Source organism: Homo sapiens, chromosome 14 (genome assembly GCF_000001405.40).
Source record: "Homo sapiens chromosome 14, GRCh38.p14 Primary Assembly".
NCBI lineage: Eukaryota > Metazoa > Chordata > Mammalia > Primates > Hominidae > Homo > Homo sapiens.
In genome coordinates, this window is record NC_000014.9 from 33,515,236 (window position 1) to 33,535,465 (window position 20,230).

The 20,230-nt window shown below is 38.9% G+C and overlaps 1 protein-coding gene and 1 long non-coding RNA gene across 21 annotated transcripts in view; one reads left to right on the forward strand and one right to left on the reverse strand.

Moving 5' to 3' along the window:
- Positions 1–20,230, forward strand: part of NPAS3 (neuronal PAS domain protein 3) — an 869,389-nt gene that overhangs the window by 580,451 nt on the left and 268,708 nt on the right. The gene's annotated exons all lie outside the window — the stretch shown is intronic.
- On the reverse strand, positions 533–19,397 carry LOC124903299 (uncharacterized). 2 transcript variants are annotated; one of them, XR_007064111.1, is made up of 5 exons: positions 19,313–19,397; positions 12,069–12,188; positions 10,905–11,006; positions 6,713–6,817; positions 533–6,274 (listed from the first exon to the last, which is right to left on the reverse strand). It is a non-coding gene; the product is annotated as an uncharacterized LOC124903299 (long non-coding RNA). The 2 variants fall into 2 exon arrangements; XR_007064110.1 differs by lacking the exons at positions 533–6,274; positions 6,713–6,817 and adding an exon at positions 9,562–9,650.

Here is a 20,230-nt window from a genome sequence, read left to right on the forward strand (position 1 = left end):
TACAACTTCATCTCCCTTCTCATTCCACTCAAGAAAATACATGGAATAAGAATGAGTAAGAGTGGCATTATCATGAGGGTTATTTTGAATGGGCATATTTACATTCATAAATATATATGCATGTATATATAGAAAATCATTCCCATACTTGCTACTAAAACACTTATTAATGGCAGTTATTAATGAGACTTCTCTTAGACCAAGGGTTTATGACCTGTAACTCCCACCAGCCAAATCTGGCCTGCTGCCTGTTTTGCAAATAAAGTTTCATTGAAACTCAGCCATACCCATTTGTGTAAGTATTGTCTGTGCCGCTTTCACTCTACAACAGCAGAGTTGTGAAGCTGGACAGAGCATATCGCCCACGAATCCTAAAATATTCACTATCTGGTCCTTTACAGGAAAAGGTTGCTGATCCCTGCATTAGACAATTCTTCCAACTCACGGAATACAGTCATACTTTTTGCATTACTCTGTTGTTCTTAACCACTCAACAGCACTGGACACCACTGCTTGTAAGCCCCTTCTAGAAACTTTTCCAGAATTTATTGCTCTTCATGGATCTTGTCCCTCTTAACACCTTTACGATCTCTTTTCCTCTTTCTGCTTTTAAACAACTTTGTACTTTATTCACATGTCCCCAAAGACTGGTATAGCATGTTAAGAACATTATTGTTTAGTAACCGACATGGATGCATTACTGCATGCTAAACACAAAGAAAATTGAATAACAATGGTAGCTAAGCCCTATTTAACACTTTCTATGAGGTAAGATAGAACACGTCCGCACACATGCACATACATGCACACACTCTTAACCCTCATAGCATCTCTGCTAAGTATACTAAATAGGTATTTATAAAGCCCATTTTACAGATGAGTAAACTAAATTAAGCACCTTTGCCTAAGGTTACACAGCTAATCATAGCAGTCAGTGGGAAAGCTAGAATTTGACACAAGTCTTTTATCTCCAGAGCCTCTGTGTTTTACTTTCCTCTGGTACTAAACTTAAGATCATAAAGTGAGATAGAGAATTAGAAAATCTTTCAGGTAAATACTTCCTCTTTCCTTTCAAGGAGGGGTTTCAAGGGAGGCTTTTAGATTTAAAAAGGGAGCATTCTTTACTTGCTTAGTCTGTTTTCATTCTTCTACCACTTGTAAATACAAGTTTTTCTGTTCCCTCCTCATCTTCCTGATGAAATTACATACTGTGGAATAGATCGTAGCTACGTGATTCTTTCCCCTAGTACGAGGAAAATATAACTAAGTGTAGAGAGTGGAGAACCAGAGTCAGACTATCTAGCTTCAGATCCCAGCTTGACCATCTAATAGCTGCATGCCCTAGGGCAAGTTCTATAACCTCTCTGACCCTCAGTTCCTTATCCTGAAAGTGGGGCTGATGATAATAAGCACCTCATTGGAGTTACTGTGCATATTAAATCTGTATCTATGCAAAGCCCTTTAAGTGGATCTTAGGACCTGGTGAGCTCTCAATAATATTATGTAAAAATTGCGATGGTGGTCGTGATAATGATGGTGATGATGATGATGATGAAGATAAGAATTCTCATAAAGCATTCCTATGGAGTCTTACCAATTGCCCTGCCCTGCCTGGCCTTTGGAGTTTTATCATGGGGACTGCATAGGTAAAGTGGCCAATGGCTGGGGGAAGAAATTTCTCCCTTCTCTAAACTCATCCCTCTGCATTCTGTATCTAGATCTTGGTCTCCCAGCATGGGATTAGTTTACGATCTACTGAGGCAGATGAACAGGCTGTATATAAAGGAAGTAGCAAATAAATATTAAACAGTTCTGACATGGTTGATGGAGGAAATGCTGTGGCTTCTTGGATTAGGTATTCACTATTGGCATCCTATATTCACTGAAAACCCCCAGTGGTTTTGACAGAGTAAACAAACACACTAATGTTCATGATACTGGCCAACTTCTAAATCAGGTGATTGTAGTTCGCTTATCTTAGTTGGATTTCCGGTGGGTTCTTCTCTGCTTGTCCTAAAGCACGGGTCATCAACCTCTGGCAAACAGGCTCAGTTCAATTGCTCAGACATTTCCTGAAGTCTACACCCTATTCACCAAAAAACTGTCGAAATGTCATGACATACATTACATTTACATGGTGCTCTACAGTTTACAACATGGCTTTCATTTGAGTTATGTCATTAGATCTTTGCAACATCCTGGAGTTATAGAATCTAGGAGTTTGAGGGAATTGCCTGACAATATAGCAATGGAGCTGTAGGGGGAAGGAGTTTCTCATGGGTGTATTGCTGTTTTATGCTTCAGGTCCTTTGCTTAGGCTGTTTCTTCTCCCACACCTGTAAAGCTTCTCTCTAAAGGTTCAACTCAGGCATCATTTTATTTAGGAAAAGTTCTGACAGCCTCTTGGTCCTGTCCTTTTAGCTCCTCACTCCTTCTTTGTGCTTTCGTCATGCCCCGCAGCACCTAGGGCTCAGGTCTCTTAGCACATTTACCATATTAAATCACCGTTACATACTTACATATTTGCCCATCTAGTTCCCGCCCCCAGGCCTTACTGTGAGCACCTGTTACTCAGAGAAGCTGTTTATTTTCCATTGACCTTTTCATTTCTAGCATATAGCACAGCACCTGGCATGCAATAGGTGCTCAGTAAATGAGTAACATATTGAACAAATCTGATTCCAAATCCTCGGCTCTCCCCAGCACCCTCCCTGAACCAATATAGGTGCCCTCCTGCCAGACCCAAGCAGCTTCCGAACATCCACCACGTACCAGAGACTACAAGGTAAAACCAGATGAAACAATTCTTGACTGACAGCAAAAGATGATATGACTAACTTGAAGAGTAATAAATGAAATGGCTGAAGAATGCTTTCATGCTATGACATATCAAATACCAATTAAGTTCACTGTATATTCAGTACAAGCATGCTAAGAGGATGCAGGTAGCTCAGGCAGCGGGGGAGCCTTGTTGAGATGGGAGATTTTGAGATGGGTTGCTCATAAATTGATGCAGAGGCCCTGGAGGTAAACAGCTAGAGGAGAGGTAACTCATGGTGGGGGTGGGAGAGATAGGAGTCAGTTCCTCTAGTTGGATGGCAAGGTAAGGAGGATTTTCAATTTCAGGGTGAATAATTGAATCTGATAATAGAAATGGAGCTGCTTGTGTAAGTGTGCATCAAGATAACCCTTGAGCCTGACTTACCCTCATTGTTCCATTCCTTTGAGATCAACCAAGAGTTCCAACTCCAAGAGAAAAAGGCAAAGAGAGCTGTCTGCTTTATTGCAATGCCTCATCACTCTGCAATATATCTGTTCTCTCTTTCTACTCACACCAACATAAACAGACATCAAGGATTTTTTTTTTTTTTTTTTGGCATGTTACCATGCCTTTGCAAAAAATGAAATTTCCTTGACCTGGAATACATCCTCCTTCCTCCACCCTTTCATCTCACTAGTTAACTCCTACATATTAGTCAGGGCTCAAGTCAAGTCTCTGACCAGCCTCACCCTAACAGAGTTGGGGGCCTCTCTTTAGTGTTCCCCAAATACTTCTCCTTCTTAGAACAATCAGTTAAGGATTGAACAGTTGTCCATGCACTCTACCACAGTGGAATCAACAGGAGGGTAGGAGCTATATTGTGGTCTTATTTGTTATTTTCAGGGTCTAGCCAATAGTAGACTCTTGATAAACATTTTTAATAAATAAAGGAATGAATGAGTAAATTAATGACTAAGTGAATAAATCCCTTATATCCTCTTGGTCCCAACCTGGTAGACTTTCTGACTCCCTACCTATACCACTCTTGTACCTATTTGTTACACACAACCCTCTATACAAGTGACATTGACCACAGACAAAAGAATGTAGAGAACAGAGTTTAAGCAGCTCACAGTTACAGTTTCTAGTTACTCAGCTCTCTTAGCTCAGATTTACCAGTTTCAACTGTTTCGCTGGCATCCTTTGATTTTACCCTCCTTTTGTGCGAGTTTCCCTTTTGATCCTTCTCATCAAACTTCTCAGTATCCTAGTCTGCCATCTCAGAACTCCCAAGCCCTCCCTGAGCTTTGTCTGATTGTTTCCTACTCTTCTCGTGCCCAGCTTCCCCTCTGCTTCCCTCTTACTTTTCCTGGGACTCTGCTTATGCTCTCATTACACTCAAACATTAGTTGCCTGCCTTCCAGAGATCTAGGAAGTAATTCCAAGTCTCGCCAGCTTCCCCTGATGTCATTCATGGGTAGAACAGGAGAAGAAGCTAGCATGGGATTTGAAGTCAGAGCCATCTGGGTGCCAAATCAGGGTTTGCTGCGTATTATTTGTGTAACGTGGGACAGATTAATTCTCCAAACCTCGGTCTGCGCATATGTAAAGTGGAAATAACAGTACAGATACATGGCTTGTAAAGTTATTGGCAGATTAAGTGAGATGTAAGGTACTTGAAATATACGTACCTGGCAAGTTGATTAGGATGGCTTCTTATCACATCTTCCTCACAAATACAACACACGTTCACATTCCTAGTCATTCCTTTAAGCAGACCGTACATTTTAAAATAACAAACACCCACATTTGTGTTTGAACCCAGATAATACTAATTTTTCTCCACTGAGAGACCCAAGGTGCCTTCCCTGAGCTGCACAGATACCTCCTTGGGAGGTACGTTAGGGGCCCAGCAGATCCCATCTCAGAATCTCACCCTACCTTGGTGTGTCCAGACTGTCGGGGAGAATATGGAGTGAGAGGTGAGGCCCAGCCAGATCTGAAGCCTCACCCCCACCCATCATCTATCCTCCTGGCATCTTTCCCCTGCTTCTGGTTTAATTAGTTGTTGGATTGATCTGCTGAACCCAGAGGGGTTCTAGAGCAGTTGCTTTATTCCATCTTCAGCTAGCAGAAGTTTTGAAGGATATTGGGTCGGGGTGAAGCTCTGAGCTACCACAGTACAAAAAGTCGCTTCCCCTTGCCCTCAAGAAGGAGTGAGTGTTTCTCCGGGTTATATAGTTTCTGTGCCTCAGAGGAGGCTACGTTTCAGTGGTGTGTGGGGTGACCCTTATGTATTGTTTATATCAAGAAAGCGCTTTGAGACGAAATAGGGTCTATTAATCTCAGATGTTGTGTGTGCCTCTTTGCTGTCTGAGTTTGGTTGTTTTGTTTCATCTGCTGAGGGAGGTTTGTTTTCTTTTTTTTAAATCTGAGATGAAATAAGAACACCACATTTACTGTGATTTATCTGGGGGAAGAAAAAAAGTGAAACTGGAAATGTTTGTCCTTAGGAGATTTGTATAAAGTTCTGTCAGATGATGTTGAGAATGAAATGGGCAGGAGAGATGGAGAAGCAATAAAAGTGCCGTTTTGAGTTTGTGAATGGAATCAAATTTCAATTATGACAACAGTTAAACACAGTGATTTTTCTGTATTTTCAGGAATAAAAACAACACAATTATTTCTTTTGCAGTGCCCAGTAATCTCTAATAATTTATCCGTTTTCATTTAATGCCTCTAAAATGGGCAAGGAGAATTATACACAGCCTGCAACCTGTAATAAAATGGTCAGTTTCAACACAGCTGTTGAGTGGGAGGCAAGGCGAGGACCGCTGTGCAGAGAGGTGCTGGTACTGTACGCATTAATCAATAAGCAAACGCTGAATGCTGCTAGATAGTCATTTACCCTTGACAAAACAAGCAATGATAATCGGATGATAATGTGGTAATTTACCTTTATACATTTTACCCTTGTTGGATTTTTAGAGGTCATTGTTGTATCTGATAAATTTTAGGGTAGAATTCCAGCTTTTTCCTGTGCAAGACCAATATCTGAAGCTTGTGCCTTTTGCTGCTTTTTCCTTCAAATAACAGGATCTTATGAATTAGTGCTTTCATTATATTTGTGTCTATTAAGTCAGACTACAGTTTTCAAGGTGCTTTTCTATTCTAGGGAGATCTGCAGGGCACTTAACCTACATTAGACCTAAGAGGTCTGAGGGTTCTTCAGAAGACAAAGAATTTCTAGATACTTTCCTTGAGGAGGTGTCAAGGGCAATACAGACAAAAGACTGATGTCTCCTTTAACAGCTTGATAAGTATCTCAGGATATTCTGCAGGAATCAGTTCTGTTTCTACAAAGTCCTGTATTCCCATTCAGCATGATATGGCTGAATATGTGTGTGCTACGTGTGACAATGGTGAAGACTTATCTTTGCCCTGAGGGCTGAGTGCTATAACACTGCTCAAGCGATAGGCTTGATAGAAGTGATGATTTGGAGAGATGATCTGCTTTAAAAAAAAAAAAAAAAAAAGGCACATTAGAGATGTGTAAGAATTAAAAATGTGACTCTCTGTTTATCTGGATTTTATTTTATAAGTTCCAAAGGCATTTCTATTCGTAGCATCGAAATCCCTTGTAAAAGTAAAGTGAATCATTCTTGTATTGACCATTTTTTTCATGTTGTTCTATTGAGACATCTTCCCAACTGAGTTTCTTATTGAATTGTATTTCTATAAGGGTATTGTAGGTTAGCAGCACATTTTTATGGTACACAAAAGATGTGCCTTCTGAATTTCCAATGCCTTGCATATTGTTCCCCACAGAAGAAACATCTCGGAAATGCTAAATAAATCAAAACAGAAACATTTGGCTCTTGACTTGCCGCCGGAGCTTTTCTTTTCCTCTCAGTTTACATTGGCTGGAATATCCATTATGATCCATCTTACCTATTTGATTAATTTGTAATAAATCTAGCCCTTTGGAAGCCTCTTGCTGCATTTCTGGACGGGTTACTCTTGTAGAAGGTTTATTTAATATGTGTCTCTGTGTACCTATATGAATGAAAATTTAATATGGTTTAGAAGCCTTTAAAAACACACACGCACATAGTGTTTGCTCTGAATTAAGTGCTCATATTTGACATAGCTTTGCGGTAAAAATCCATAAACGTATAGGCAGACAAAATTGTTTAGAGGACAGTTTCTTCAGAAATTCACGTGACACGTGATATCATTTCAGGGGATGAAATATCATATTTCATATGACCAGTAAATGTAATTATAAATACTAGATTGGAATCCTTATTTTTGTGTTTTTTTAAAAACTTCTTCTCCTTATGGCCTATATTATTTGAAGTGCCACCGCCACATTGCAGAGTTCACCTTCAATTTGATGCAGTGATGTAGTTGTATCCCTGTGGGTGAGAAATGTTCCTCTCCAAATAACTGTAGCAGCATAGCAGGAATATTTTGAGTCAACCTTCTCTATATTATAGCAAGATAATAAAAACGCCTCTACTCTTAACCATCACCATGTACTGAGGAAGGCATAACAAATTCATTTTCTGATGTTGGAAATAAGATCAAGGTGGGAAACAATACCCCCATTTTTCGGACAAAGACATTGGGGACCGGAAAACCACATTTAAGACTGTGTTAATTGTCTTTTATAGCAAAAATAATGAGAAAAATAATATTAGCCATTTTTATGGTATATATCCCACCCTACTCCTTTGGTTATATGTATTACCACCATGTACACTAAGAAAGCCAAGGAAAATAGTTATCTTACACATATGTTTTGTGCTTGCTGAGGTAAACGATGAGTGAATGGTGCTTGCGGTGTGGAGAAAATAAAGAGAGGTTAATTGGTACATACTTGCCTCATATTCCTTATCTGAATGTTTTACATTCATATATAATATGGAACTGTGTAATATGTGTGTTTACTAATTACGTCTGATGTCTGTCTTAACTTTGTCACTCTCAGAATATCCTTATAGGCATGCACCATGTGTCAACTGAATTACACCCATAGTCTGAGCCACACACTCTTCTCAGCACTCTAAGATAGTTAGACAAATACTGTCTACTCAGGGGAATTATAATCCAGTAGAAGAAATTAAACAAATACAACAAAAAGTAAGTTAAGGCAAACTAAAGTACATTGGGATAGGTACTGTACTTCAGTGATTCAGAGGAGGAAGCACGTTCCTATTCAGCTTCAGAAATGCTTCAGGAATGAGCTGGACTGGTTTGATAGAAAGAGAAAACAGCATGACTCAAGGCACAGGGACCAAACATCTTAGGAATAGTTATCTGACATCATTATTACTGTAGAGAAAGGAGAAACCTTGGATACTATAAAAAGACACTGGCCCAGGCAAGGTTGCAGTGAGCTGAGATCATGCCACTGCGCTCCAGCCTGGGCAACAGAGCGAGACTCTGTCTCAAAAAAAAAAAAAAAAAAAAAAGATCCTGGGCCAGGCATGGTGGCTCATGCCTGTAATCCCAGCACTTTGGGAGGCTGAGGCAGATGGATCACCTGAGGTCAGGAGTTCGAAATTAGCCTGGCCAACATGGTGAAACCTCGTCTCCACTAAAAATACAAAAAGATAAAAATTAAAAAAAATAGCCGGGCGTGGTGGCAGGCACCTGTAATCCCACCTATTCTGGAGGCTGAGGCAAGAGAATGGCTTGAACCCAAGTTGCAGAGGTTGCAGTGAGCTGAGATTGTGCCACTGCACTCCAGCCTGGGCGACAGAGCAAGACTTTGTCTCAAGAAAAAAAAGACCCTGGCTAAGGAGAGTCCAGCAAAATAAATCCCTGCTACAAAGAACCAGATCAGTGCCTGCCATCGATCCATGATGGACCTCCCTTATATGTGTGGGGCCACAACACACCTACGCCTTGAGACAAGAGAAAGGTTATGGAGGCCCTTGAGTGTCAGGTAACGGATGCTATTGTGTCCCCATAAAGCAGATCCTAGTGCTAGGCATATAATAGCCAAAAATAACTATAACTATCTTTAATCAAATACCTACTCTGATTCAGATGGACTTTGGGGAAATTTTTTTAGGTTATCTTTTCATATTTTGCTCCTTCTTATCCATTAGGTCTCAGCTTAAATGTCACCTCCTCAGAAAGACTGTCTTGACAACACTGCTGAAAGTACTGCCCTCTCTAAAAGTCCTCCTTACCCTCTACAACTGCATCCTGTTCCTTTCCTTCATAATACTTAAGTCTTAACTGCATATGTATTTGTCTGTAAATTTGTTATTCTTTTTCTTCCTGCTATACTATCGGATTTTTAAGAACAGGAACTAGAGCTGTTTTATTCACCACCCTATCCCAGCACCTTCAAAAAGTCCCTCTCTATAGCAGACACTCAAAAATTGGTCAAATGGTGATATTCACAACAACCTAATAAAGTAGATACCATTATCTTAATTTTTACAAAAGAGGAAATTGGCATTCACAGAATGACTTGCTCCAGTTAATCAATAATCTGCCAAACCCAGATTCAAACCCAGTCTACATGATCTTAAAGCTTATGGTTGTATCTTTGCTAGATGATAACCTTCCTCTAATAGAAAGATGAAATCTGTATTAGTCTGCCAGGGCTGCCATGACAAAGTATCACAAACTGGTTGGCTTACACAACAGAAATGTGTTGTCTCAGAATTCTGTAGGCTAGAAGTGTGAGATTAAGGTGCTGGCAGGGTTGGTTCCTTCTGAGGGATGTGAGGGAGGCTCTGTTCCAGACCTCTGTCCCAGCTTCCGGTGGTTTGCTGATCATCTTTGGTGGACCATCGCTTGTAGATACATCATTCCGATCTCTGCCTCCATCTTCATGTGTCATTCACCGTGTGTGTCCAAATGTCTTCTTTTTATATAGAAACAGTCACATAGGATTATGGCCCAAACTAATAACCCCATCTTAACTTCATCATCTGCACCACTTCTATTTCCAAATAAGGTCATATCTGAGTTAATGGGGGTTAGTACTTTAACATATGAATTTGGGAGAGAACACAATTCAACCCATAATAGTACATTTTTAGCAAATGACTGACTAATCTCAAGGCATAGTAATTGGTTTTGTGTTAAATGTACTATTCATAATGTAGAAAAATGTTCTAAAAAAGGGGATAAGTATCCTAGTTTTATCCTAACATTAAACTTAAAGAGCCATTCAGTCATCTTTTCTAGAAGATCATGAGAATCTCAAAGATTATGTGATCAGGGACTCAGAACTTGGATGTTTTATAATTTTGCATCTTAGCATGGAAACAAAATCAGAAGTTAGGCAAGTAAGCATGATATTTGAAATCACTTTGCCATATAATTACTGCTAGATTAGATTGGGATGGACCTGACTTCATTCTTCTGTCTTCAGAACTTTAGATAAAGAGTATTTTTTAGCAAGCATTGGAAATTCTCAGTAATAATGCCCTTGCAATCAGAAGGTAGAAGTTTAGTATTATTTCAAGTTAGTTCTTACCACCTATAGTGTCAGAGCACAGTGCTAGGCTCTAGAGAAAAGGTACAATTTCAGGATGATTCATTTATTTCTGTGAATTTTTTCCTATATGCTGTGTCTTTGAGTCACTGAAAGAATTTACTCTATCATATTTGTGACCCACTGAGACCTAGGGATGGGCATCTTTATCCAGAAGGGAGAAGCTTTGAGAAGTCTTCAAGTTGTAGGACACATAAAACCTATTAATGGGGAGAAGTTGTTTCTGAAATGTTGAACCAAATTATTGGCCACTAACACATAAACATGCCTAAGTTTGGAATGTGACATGGGAGGTAGGGTCTGATCAGGAACCGGGAAACGTCTGTTTTCTTCTTTGGCTATCTGACAAAGATAACTAATAGAAGGAGAAATGTGAGATTACGAAAGAGGAAATGGGGAAATAAACCATGACAAAAATAAATGAGAAGAGACAGATAAAACAGAAAGAAAGGTAAGTTAGGGGAAAAAATAAAAGGAAAACACAGGTGAAATGAAAACAGAGATTTCAGCAACCTAGAAAAGATTTAAAAGGAGTGAAATAATCATCAGTGAATGGCAAACAATTTGACGTAATTTTCCATGTTGTTTTCCTACCGGTATTCCAGCCTTAGAACTTACCGGGAGTACCTGGAATGCATTTCCTCACTCATGACCTTTCATAACTCTCAGAAATGATTTTCTTTCACTCTACTTCAGCTGGACTTGAAAGTGCTTGATGGTCTTGGGAAGGAATTACCAGTAAATAATAAACTCACAGTATACTGAAGTCACATATAGTTTTTTAAAACCTGGGAAATGTTTCTCCATTTTCCTATAAAATCCCCTTTACCTTTTATAGGCTCTCCAGCCATTTGTTTGTTTTTAATAAAGGAAAAACCTATTGGACAAATTTTTGAATGTTGTTGAAACAGGGCATGACTATCACTCCAGTAAAGAATATCCCATGTAAAAGAGGTTTCAGTATGTATACTGGGCTCTTACAGGCTGATTCTGTAAAATAATGAAGGAAGCCACTGGTGAATTAAACAGCTTGTTAGTCATGGGGGATCAGTGAATAGGGTCCTCCTGGGGTTCAATATATGGAGAAGTGGCAACGAGATCAGGGGAAAAAATCAAACTAGTAGTTACTGAATATATATTAAGGTATCCTGCAAATGCAATATAGGAAATAGCTTCATTTCAGAAGCTCAGTAATTTAGTACCTCTCACCTAAGGGAGTCAGGTCAGAATTTAGCCTCGGCAGAGCCAGGCAAATTGTTCAGGATGAAGACAGCAGCCAAAGCGGCACATCATTAAGGCCAGGCAGTAGGAGGGTTGCCCAGCCCTTCAGACCTCACTGTGTTAATGAAGTTACTTCATTGACATAACCTAATATTCATTCATTTCTGTTATGAGAACAAGGTCCTTTCAAAACTTCTCTTCATTCAATGAGTGTTCAGCACCTACTATGTAAAGACTCTGTAAGGAGGAATAGATGGCATCCTTGTCCTTAGGAAGCTGGCAGAACCCCCATTCCTTGAATACCAGTATTCAGTGTAGCAAATGCCTGTCTGGCTATATGTGGAGAAGGAGGAGGTTGATTGGCCACCTCCAATGGCTACCAGTGCTAGACAGCATTCCTTCTTCCCCATTTATGATTTTCCCCTTCCTTATCCACTCTCCGTCTTCCCTAGTAGCTGGGACAAATACTGAGGGCATGAGCCCTTGTCAGGGGTGCTCCGAAGTGAGCAGGGCATGGAAATGAATCTTCCTAGCCCTATCCTGTACCCTGTAACCACTTACCTTGTGATGTCGTTTACAGCAAGAGCCCACATCCAGGGTTATTGTCATAGGAAGAAATTGTTGCCCAGAACAACTGTACAATTTGCATGTTGGTGCCTCAATTCTGTCTAATAGATATGCCTGTAACAAAATAAGATGTTATCTCTGTTTCTCAGAGATGTAGTCATTTCACTCAGAGTTCTCATATGACTTCCTTTGGAGAAAGTGCCGTTTCTTTCTGTGTATGATTTTATGTGCACGTACACAAATGCACACCCGTTATGAGTTACTGATACTGGAAAGATTTGAGTAAGTGTGTGGAGATAATAAATGCATGGTCACATCTCATGTGAAAATCAGGATTTATATATGAAGTATTAATAGAAAGAATGGATCCCGCAGAAATCTGCTTTCCCACTGGTTGATTAACTGGTTTCCAAGAATTAGGTAAAGAGGACAAAGGAGAACTTGTGTTTGAAATGTGAGAATCCTGTTTCCTAGTGGGCAAGTGCTGGGGGCTTCCTTTTGAACAACGCTGGGTTTTAAGGGACTTTCAGATATTGCATCCTGATCTCCCTGCCAGAGGGTGGCAAAAATTTGGAGCAATGGCTGTTTCAACAGAAGGAACACATTCCTTCCATTTCAACACAAGGAATCCAGGAATCTTCATCTTGTCCTAAGTATACAGGAAGCTAATGTCCTGGACCTAAAACCTGCCACACCTTTTTATCAGTAAACCATATATTAATTTCTGTGTTCTCTAAATTCTCTTCCATAGAATTATTTTCCCCTTCAAGAGAAAAAATTCATCCTATAGGTGAAGCGTTTATTCTTCACACTATTCCTGCAAAGTAAGAGATTATCCTGATTATCTTTTATTGTGTGTGTGGAAGGAGGGGTGAAGAAGGAATAGAGACTCCACGAGTTTAATGTGCCCACCCCACTGATATTTCAGCCAGGTCTGCCTGACCTCAAAGCCTAAGCTTTGCTACCAAGCTGCACATTCATGCAGTATTCACTTATTCACTTGGTGAGCCACTGCTATGTGAGAAGCCTCATGCCATGCTCTGGGGACAAAAGGAAGAAGAAGACAGCATCTCTGCCTGAAGGGCGCTCACAATCTAGTGGGAAATATGGAAATATTAATAAATAATTCTGCAGAAGGTGATAAATGCAACAATAGACTATGATCAAGTGAAGACATAACAAAGAGGAGGGAGTGGTCGTCCTAATGTGTCTGCAGATTTGGAGGATGCCAAGTGGAAAACTCTCTTTTTTCTAAGTAAGCCTTCTGAGAAATCCTTCATGCTTTTGTCAGCAAATATGCATCTAACCCAAGCCTCTTCCCAGCGCCTGCTTAACCAGGCTGCGAAAAAGTTGCATTTACCCAGTGGACCAGCAAGGGAGGTAGTAGGTGACAGCGTCAGTGAGTCCTATAACAAAGTAATGAACAACTTCCACAGACCAGAGCAGGGATTGATGTCACAGAAAACTTAGGAAGATTCTTAACTTCTAATATAACAACAGCAACTGATAATTATTGAGTGTCACATGCCTTAAGGAATAGCGGTCACGTGTCACATCATTTAATTCTCACAGCAGCCTTGTGAAGGGTCCCAAAGAATCTGAGGACCTGAGCAACTCAATAATGTTTCTTTTAGTTTTTCGAGGTCATATAGTTGATGTGAGGCATCCTAAATTCAAACCCAGAGCTGTCTGACTTCAAATTTCTCCCTCTATCCAGTCTCCCCAAATCTTGACTTAGAACAACACAGCTAAACAAGGTAAAATATGACTAATGCTTGGGGTAAATGTTCTTTCGAAGGGATGGAGGACTTAGGAGGTCTCTCAGTAGCCATGGTTCATCCTTTTTTGCTCTGGCCACCACACTGTAGAGTCATGACAGTCCTGTGCTAGTATTAAGAAAATTACACTTTTCTCAAGGTAGCTTAGTTTACTCAAGGCACTTTGTGTGTCTTAACAGTTTCCCAACTTCTCTTATCTTCCCTAGGAAGAAAACTAAAGATGCCATCAGGGTGCTTAACTAGTCTATATTTATTGAGAGCATGCCTCAGGGGTATTTTAGACAAAATAACCTCGTAACAGTGGATTTTTCCTGAGCAGAATCTAGGTTAAGAAGCTTTGCAGGCTAGTCTGTATAGACTGATATTAACTTTTCCATTAAGTAGGGCAGACTGAATTACTGTTTCAGAATTTGATGATGGATGAAGAAGCAATGCAAAAGTGACACCATCCTATATTTGTAGTGGTGACATTATCAATCCATTTCCTTTGTGTTGTTAAAGTAATGGGCATCCTAAAGAGACAAGAAATATTTTTTTTCTTTTATGTATGTATGTATGTTTTTTTTCTTAAGCATGTTGGCTGTGAAGAGAATCCGAAGGAAGCTGTCATCAAAACTGAGTTCTAAGCTCAGAAAAGTGACCACCGTGAACATCCCCAGAAAAGTGGTCTAGTACAGAAAACAAAGACCATGTCAACTCTATGAAGTTTCAGCTTCTGAACAACAGACAGAAAGGCACCGTTTCACTTGGGAATAAAATATGATTCCATTGTCTTAGGAATTACCAAGCGGCAGCATGTTCTATTAACATATTTTACTAATATGAAAGTTGCAACTCAAAGTTCAAAAACTATGTGTTGAACAACAGATTCCAGGGATGCGCCAGGCATCTGTCCCATTCGGTGAACAGGCCTTGGAACAGATGTCTCGAATGTCTTCAAATCCAGACATGCTGTCCAATTTTTTTTAGTGATAAACATACTTTCTTTCCTTTTTGTCACCGCTCACCAAAGTATTATATTTAATGCATAAAATATGTAAATTCTTAAACCATCATTTTGCTCTTTAGTGAGTTTAGATATTACAAAACGGTTTAATTATAAAAACAGACAGACCTAGTCCTGGGACCTGTGCAGCTAGAAATAAATGTGCAATCAAAACTGCAATTACCTGCAGAATTTAGTGTAAACAGATCAGCAATCACATAACAAACACAGGCTAGTTTGCATTCTGATATGAATACAGTTAGATCCAAAGCAATTTTCCTTTATTTATCTTAGCTGCTCAGCATAAATAAAGCAAGGGCATTGAAGCAATTAGCATAATTAGAGTATCGTGGTCAGGCCCTGTGTGATTTCAAGAGACGTTTCACTTTAGAATTCTTTTTCCCACACAAGAGTTTCCCTGAGCCACTAAAATATCGCTTTGGGCATTTTTGTATTTCAAATTTGCAAGTTGTCAGTTTGAAAAACCCTTGACACATGGATGTGAAAGCATCTCATAGACAGCCACAGAAGGTATACCCTCAGCTTTTCATTACTAAGAAGCAGGGGAATTTCCTTTTTCAGCTCTTTCTCCTACTTGACGTTTAACCCTAGAAATGTCAGTCTTAATTATTTCCATTGCCTTCAAACTGGGTCCAAGGGTTAAAGACAACTTGTTCCTCCCAAAAATAAATAAAAATAGGGGATGGGAGGGTGGGAAAAGGAGAGGTTATTTCATGGTGGTAGCTGAGCTGTTGCTAAAAAATCGAAGGCTCTGGCAACCAGCTTGCTACTGGTGATCAGACTTTCAGTAGCTCCAAATAATAAGGTAGAGATCAGAGTGGGGTGAGGAACTGCACATGGTTTCCTCGCAGGATGCTCTGCAAGTATGGGAAATATTCTCTGTATGGGTAAACAGTAAGCAGTAGATGAAGATAAAATTGGTCCGGTGAAAACACACAGAAGAAGAGGTTTTGTTTTGTTCTGTTTTGTTCTTTTATGTGTTTGAAGATGTCTGAGAAGACTATCTTTTGGTTGGAAGGTCCAAGGTCAGCCCCTTGGACCATTATATAGGTACCAGAACTCATACAGTCCAGTCAAAGGAAGTGTGGGTCTTAAAATAGGCTGTACTTTCCTTTAAAAATGATTTTTAAAACATACAGTAAAATTGACCCTGTCTGCAATTTTATAAATTTTAACGTGTTTAAATTAATGTAACCACCCATCACAATCTACATACAGAAAAGTGCCATAATTCCAAAGACCTCCTTTGTGCCGTCACTTTGTATCACCCTTACCCCAACCCCTGATGGCCACTGATTTGTTCTCCTTCCTTATAATTGTATCTTTATGAGAACGTCATATAAATGGAATGATACAGTATGTAAGCTTTCAAGACTGGCTTCTTTCACTCAGCGTAATGCACTTGAGACTCATATCGGTAATTCCTTTTTATTGCTGAGTGGTATGCCTATGTACAGCTGTACCACAGTTTTTCTGTTCAACCATTGAAGGACATTTGGGTTGATTCAATATTTTGGCACCGATGAGCAGAGTTGTTATAAATATTTGTGCACAGATTTTTGTGTGAACATAGACTTACATTTCCCTAGGGTAAATACCTAGGAGTAGGGCTTCTGCATTACGTGGTGTGTGTGTGTATATTTAACTTTCTAAGAAACTGCTTTAAGTGTTTTCCAGAGGGGCTGTACCATTTTGCGTTCCCATCAAGTGTTATTCTGCACTGTTGTCAGCACTTAGGATTGTCAGCCTTCTGTTTTTAATCTTAGCCATTCTGATAGGTGTGTGCTGGTATCTCATCGTGACTTTAATTTGCATTTTGCAAATGGCTAGTGATCTTCTACTGTGCTTACTTGCCATTTGTGCGTCCTTTTGAATCAAGTCTTGTCTGCCTCAGTCTCATGCTTACTTTAATTGGGCTGTTTGCTGCATTCAGTCTTAATTTATCTGTGCAAATGTTAGGAAATCTCAACTATGTATCCAGGTCTCAATTATCTTTGCTAATGCAGGCCCATTCAGAAACTCAGTGGTGGCCAATATAAATTATGAGTGAAATTCAGCTCACACCAAACAATCCAGGCTAAAAGGACTAATAAAAAGGAAAATCACATTACAGTAAATCAACTCCATTACTGAGCTTCTGATCTTTCCGTCCTTTTTAAAGTTCAATTCTTTTTTAAATAAAATTCCAAGTCCAGTCTCAGTTTTTCCTTTCTTTGGTCTCTGTCGAGCTTTTGCCCCAGCTGTAGCCAACATTTACTATTAATTAGAGATTAAATATTCTTTCTTTCTGGGAAAAGGTACAACCTCTTTGGGGTTCTCTTCAGCAGCTCTGGGATGGGGCAGACACTATGCTGAGTGATTTACCTGAGTCACTTCACTTCATCCTGTGAGGACAGGTGTTAGCTGTATTTCCTAAATTAAAAAACCCAGAGAAACAGATGATTTGTCCAAGCTCATAGGGCTCATAAATGGCTCAACCTAGGATTTGAACCCAGACCTCCCTGACTCTGGAAGTTCTCTCTTTCTGTGCAGCTGCTTAGTAACCAGAAATCTAAGATGAATGAAGTGATTGCATATAAGCTGTAAGTCGCTATTATCCACAGCCCTGGGAATAATATGTAAAAAGTAGGCGTTGTTCTCTCCCTTCCCTTTGAAAATTCCTTTCCTGTTGTGTAGTAAATGACCGCTTCCTAAAAACAGTAGTAAGATAAGGTCTCATTCTGCTTCAGGAAAGGAAGCAGTAGCCTTTCCCTGTCTAAGTTGACTCCCAAATTTTGTTGGTTCATTGTCCTAGAAAACCATGCTTACACTTTAAAGTGAGCTTTCAAAAATGATACTGAGTTATTTTAAAACTGAGATTGCACAAAGGGAGAGTTGTTTTCAAACAGAACCTCAGAAATGCTCTAAACAGCATTCCTTAATTCTTTAACTCAAGAGTTAAAGAACTAAGCATAATAAACATAACTGTAAACAGTGGAAATAATAGAAGAGAACCTTTTTATTTTCTCATGGTGGAGAAGAGCTTCTTATGAAAAGAAATTCAGGTATTATAAAAGACTGGCAGAGATGATTACTTTAGAATTTTTAACTATGTACAACAAAAGATACCGTAAATAAAATTAAAAGATAAATTGCAGACTTACAGAAAATATTACATCGTATAAGGCAAAGGATAAATAACCAAACTATATAAAGAGATCCAAAAATTCAACAAGAAGACAAACATGCCATTAGAACATGGTCAAAAGATACGAATGGAAATGTCACCAAAGAAATAGAAATGACCAAACAATACATGAAAAGACTTTAAATTAACAGCAGTGACAGATGCTTTTGCTTCACAGATTGGCCAAGTTCGAAAAGACTGATGGCATCAAATATTGGTGAGAATGTTGAGAAACTGACATTCCTGTTTGCTATTGATGAGAATGCATAGTTCTGATATTGAAAACAATTTGGCAAAAAGAGCAATTTCTCAGTATTATTAGAAGGGATCAAGTAATTCATTTTTAAAAAACACTACACTAAATAAATCTTAAAGTGAATCCATTGTGGCATTGCTTCTAATTGCCTCAAATTTTGAAACCATGCTCCATAGAGGAATGGTTAAATTTATTATGAAATACCATACTATTTACAAAAAAGAAAATCACACCTGTATGTGGTGACGTGAAAAGAGATCCGAAATGTATTGTGAGAATTTTTTTAAGGTTACAGAATTTACATATATGTTACACATCATATATACATACACATGTATATATACATATCACATGTCATATACACATGTATATATAAATGTATATGACAAATATTTAAATATATGACAAGTGAACAGGTATTTCCCTGATATTCTGCCCCATATATTAATGTGTTTATGCTTTAAAAAATAATACTCTTTACCTTAAAAATGTTACCAAATCTTTTTGTCATTTTATTCAGTTAGCTAGACATCATGACAAGAGTATTTGTTTATTTCATTTTATTCAGTGTCATAATCTAATATATAATCTACAGGGAGAATTTACAGCCGCCTGCTGACTATTATTGGCCAGTGTAACCAAATTAATAAGAAGACTTGCAAATTTCTGCTATGTGTGGTACTTACTATTTCACAGAGCAGTAAAAAAAAAAAAAAAAAACTCCTTATGTCAGTACTATTTCTATGTATGAACCATGGCATGCTGAAAGTGTCAGACAAAGCAACAGCTAGAGAAGTGGTTAACACTAACTCCAGAATGGGCCTGATTTGTATACTCTCTTGGATCCCATCCTGAAAATGATAAAACTGTGTATTTCTTTACATTGGGAGTCAGGATTTGTTGGCCAAATCCCTTGAATGACATAGTTGCTAGGAGCTGGATACTATAGAAACACGTGAGGAAGTCAGGAGTGTGACTACAATATGGTTTTCAGTGGACAAGTATTTTCAAGTCATAGAAATGGCTTCTTACCTGTCATTTTCCATTTGAGAAGTCCACAATAGTATGTAGTGAGAAAGTGTCTGCTACCTCCTATATATGTATAGTTGGAATCTTTTGTGAATTTCTTCTTCATACAACCTCCATGTGTGGTTATTTAATCGCATTTTTTCTATGAACCTCGTACATCTTATTTCTCTCTGAAAATAAATAGAAAGGGGTCTGAAGTTTCCACCGTGACCACACAGCGTGCACTCTGATGAGACTTTGGAATTTCCTGGAATGTCAGCTCTGTAACACACTCTAAGCAGTGACTCTTGGGGCACAGTGGAATGGGGGAATCCCTGCTATGATCACTCACAGTGGGAATGGACTGCCTCGGCTCTTGAGAAGTCCTCTTTCCAGGACGTGTGCTGTGTCTGCTTTAAAGCCACAGGACATAATGCTCATCATAAGAGGAACATATTAGCAAGGAGCAGTAGCAATAGAACTTGCTATTTTTCTCAGAGGATTCAATGAAAGATTTTGAAAAGAACTAAAAGTCAAAGCAAAATGTTTCTCTGACTTTATAGAGAGATGCTGTTTGAGCCTTTATCATAGAACAAGCAAAACCAAGCGTAGTATTTACTCAAATTCTATAATAAAAGTATATATACTGTCATAAAAAATATCACTTACACCTTTACTAAAAGAAATCTGGATGGGGACCTCACAGTAATTTTGAAATATCCCTTTTCACTATCATTCTAGGGCAGTACCCTTAGGCATATGACTTTCTAAATAGGCGCAAAATGTATTTGACTAGACTAGTATGAAGTTTAGTATAAGAAACAGTAAAATGGACACTTGAGTAGGACTGCTGTTAGAAGAGGCCCAGAGCAGATGCAAATGTGGCAAACCTTTTGGTTGAGTAACTTCTACAACAGTCTATAGAGTAGAATCATGTAGAGT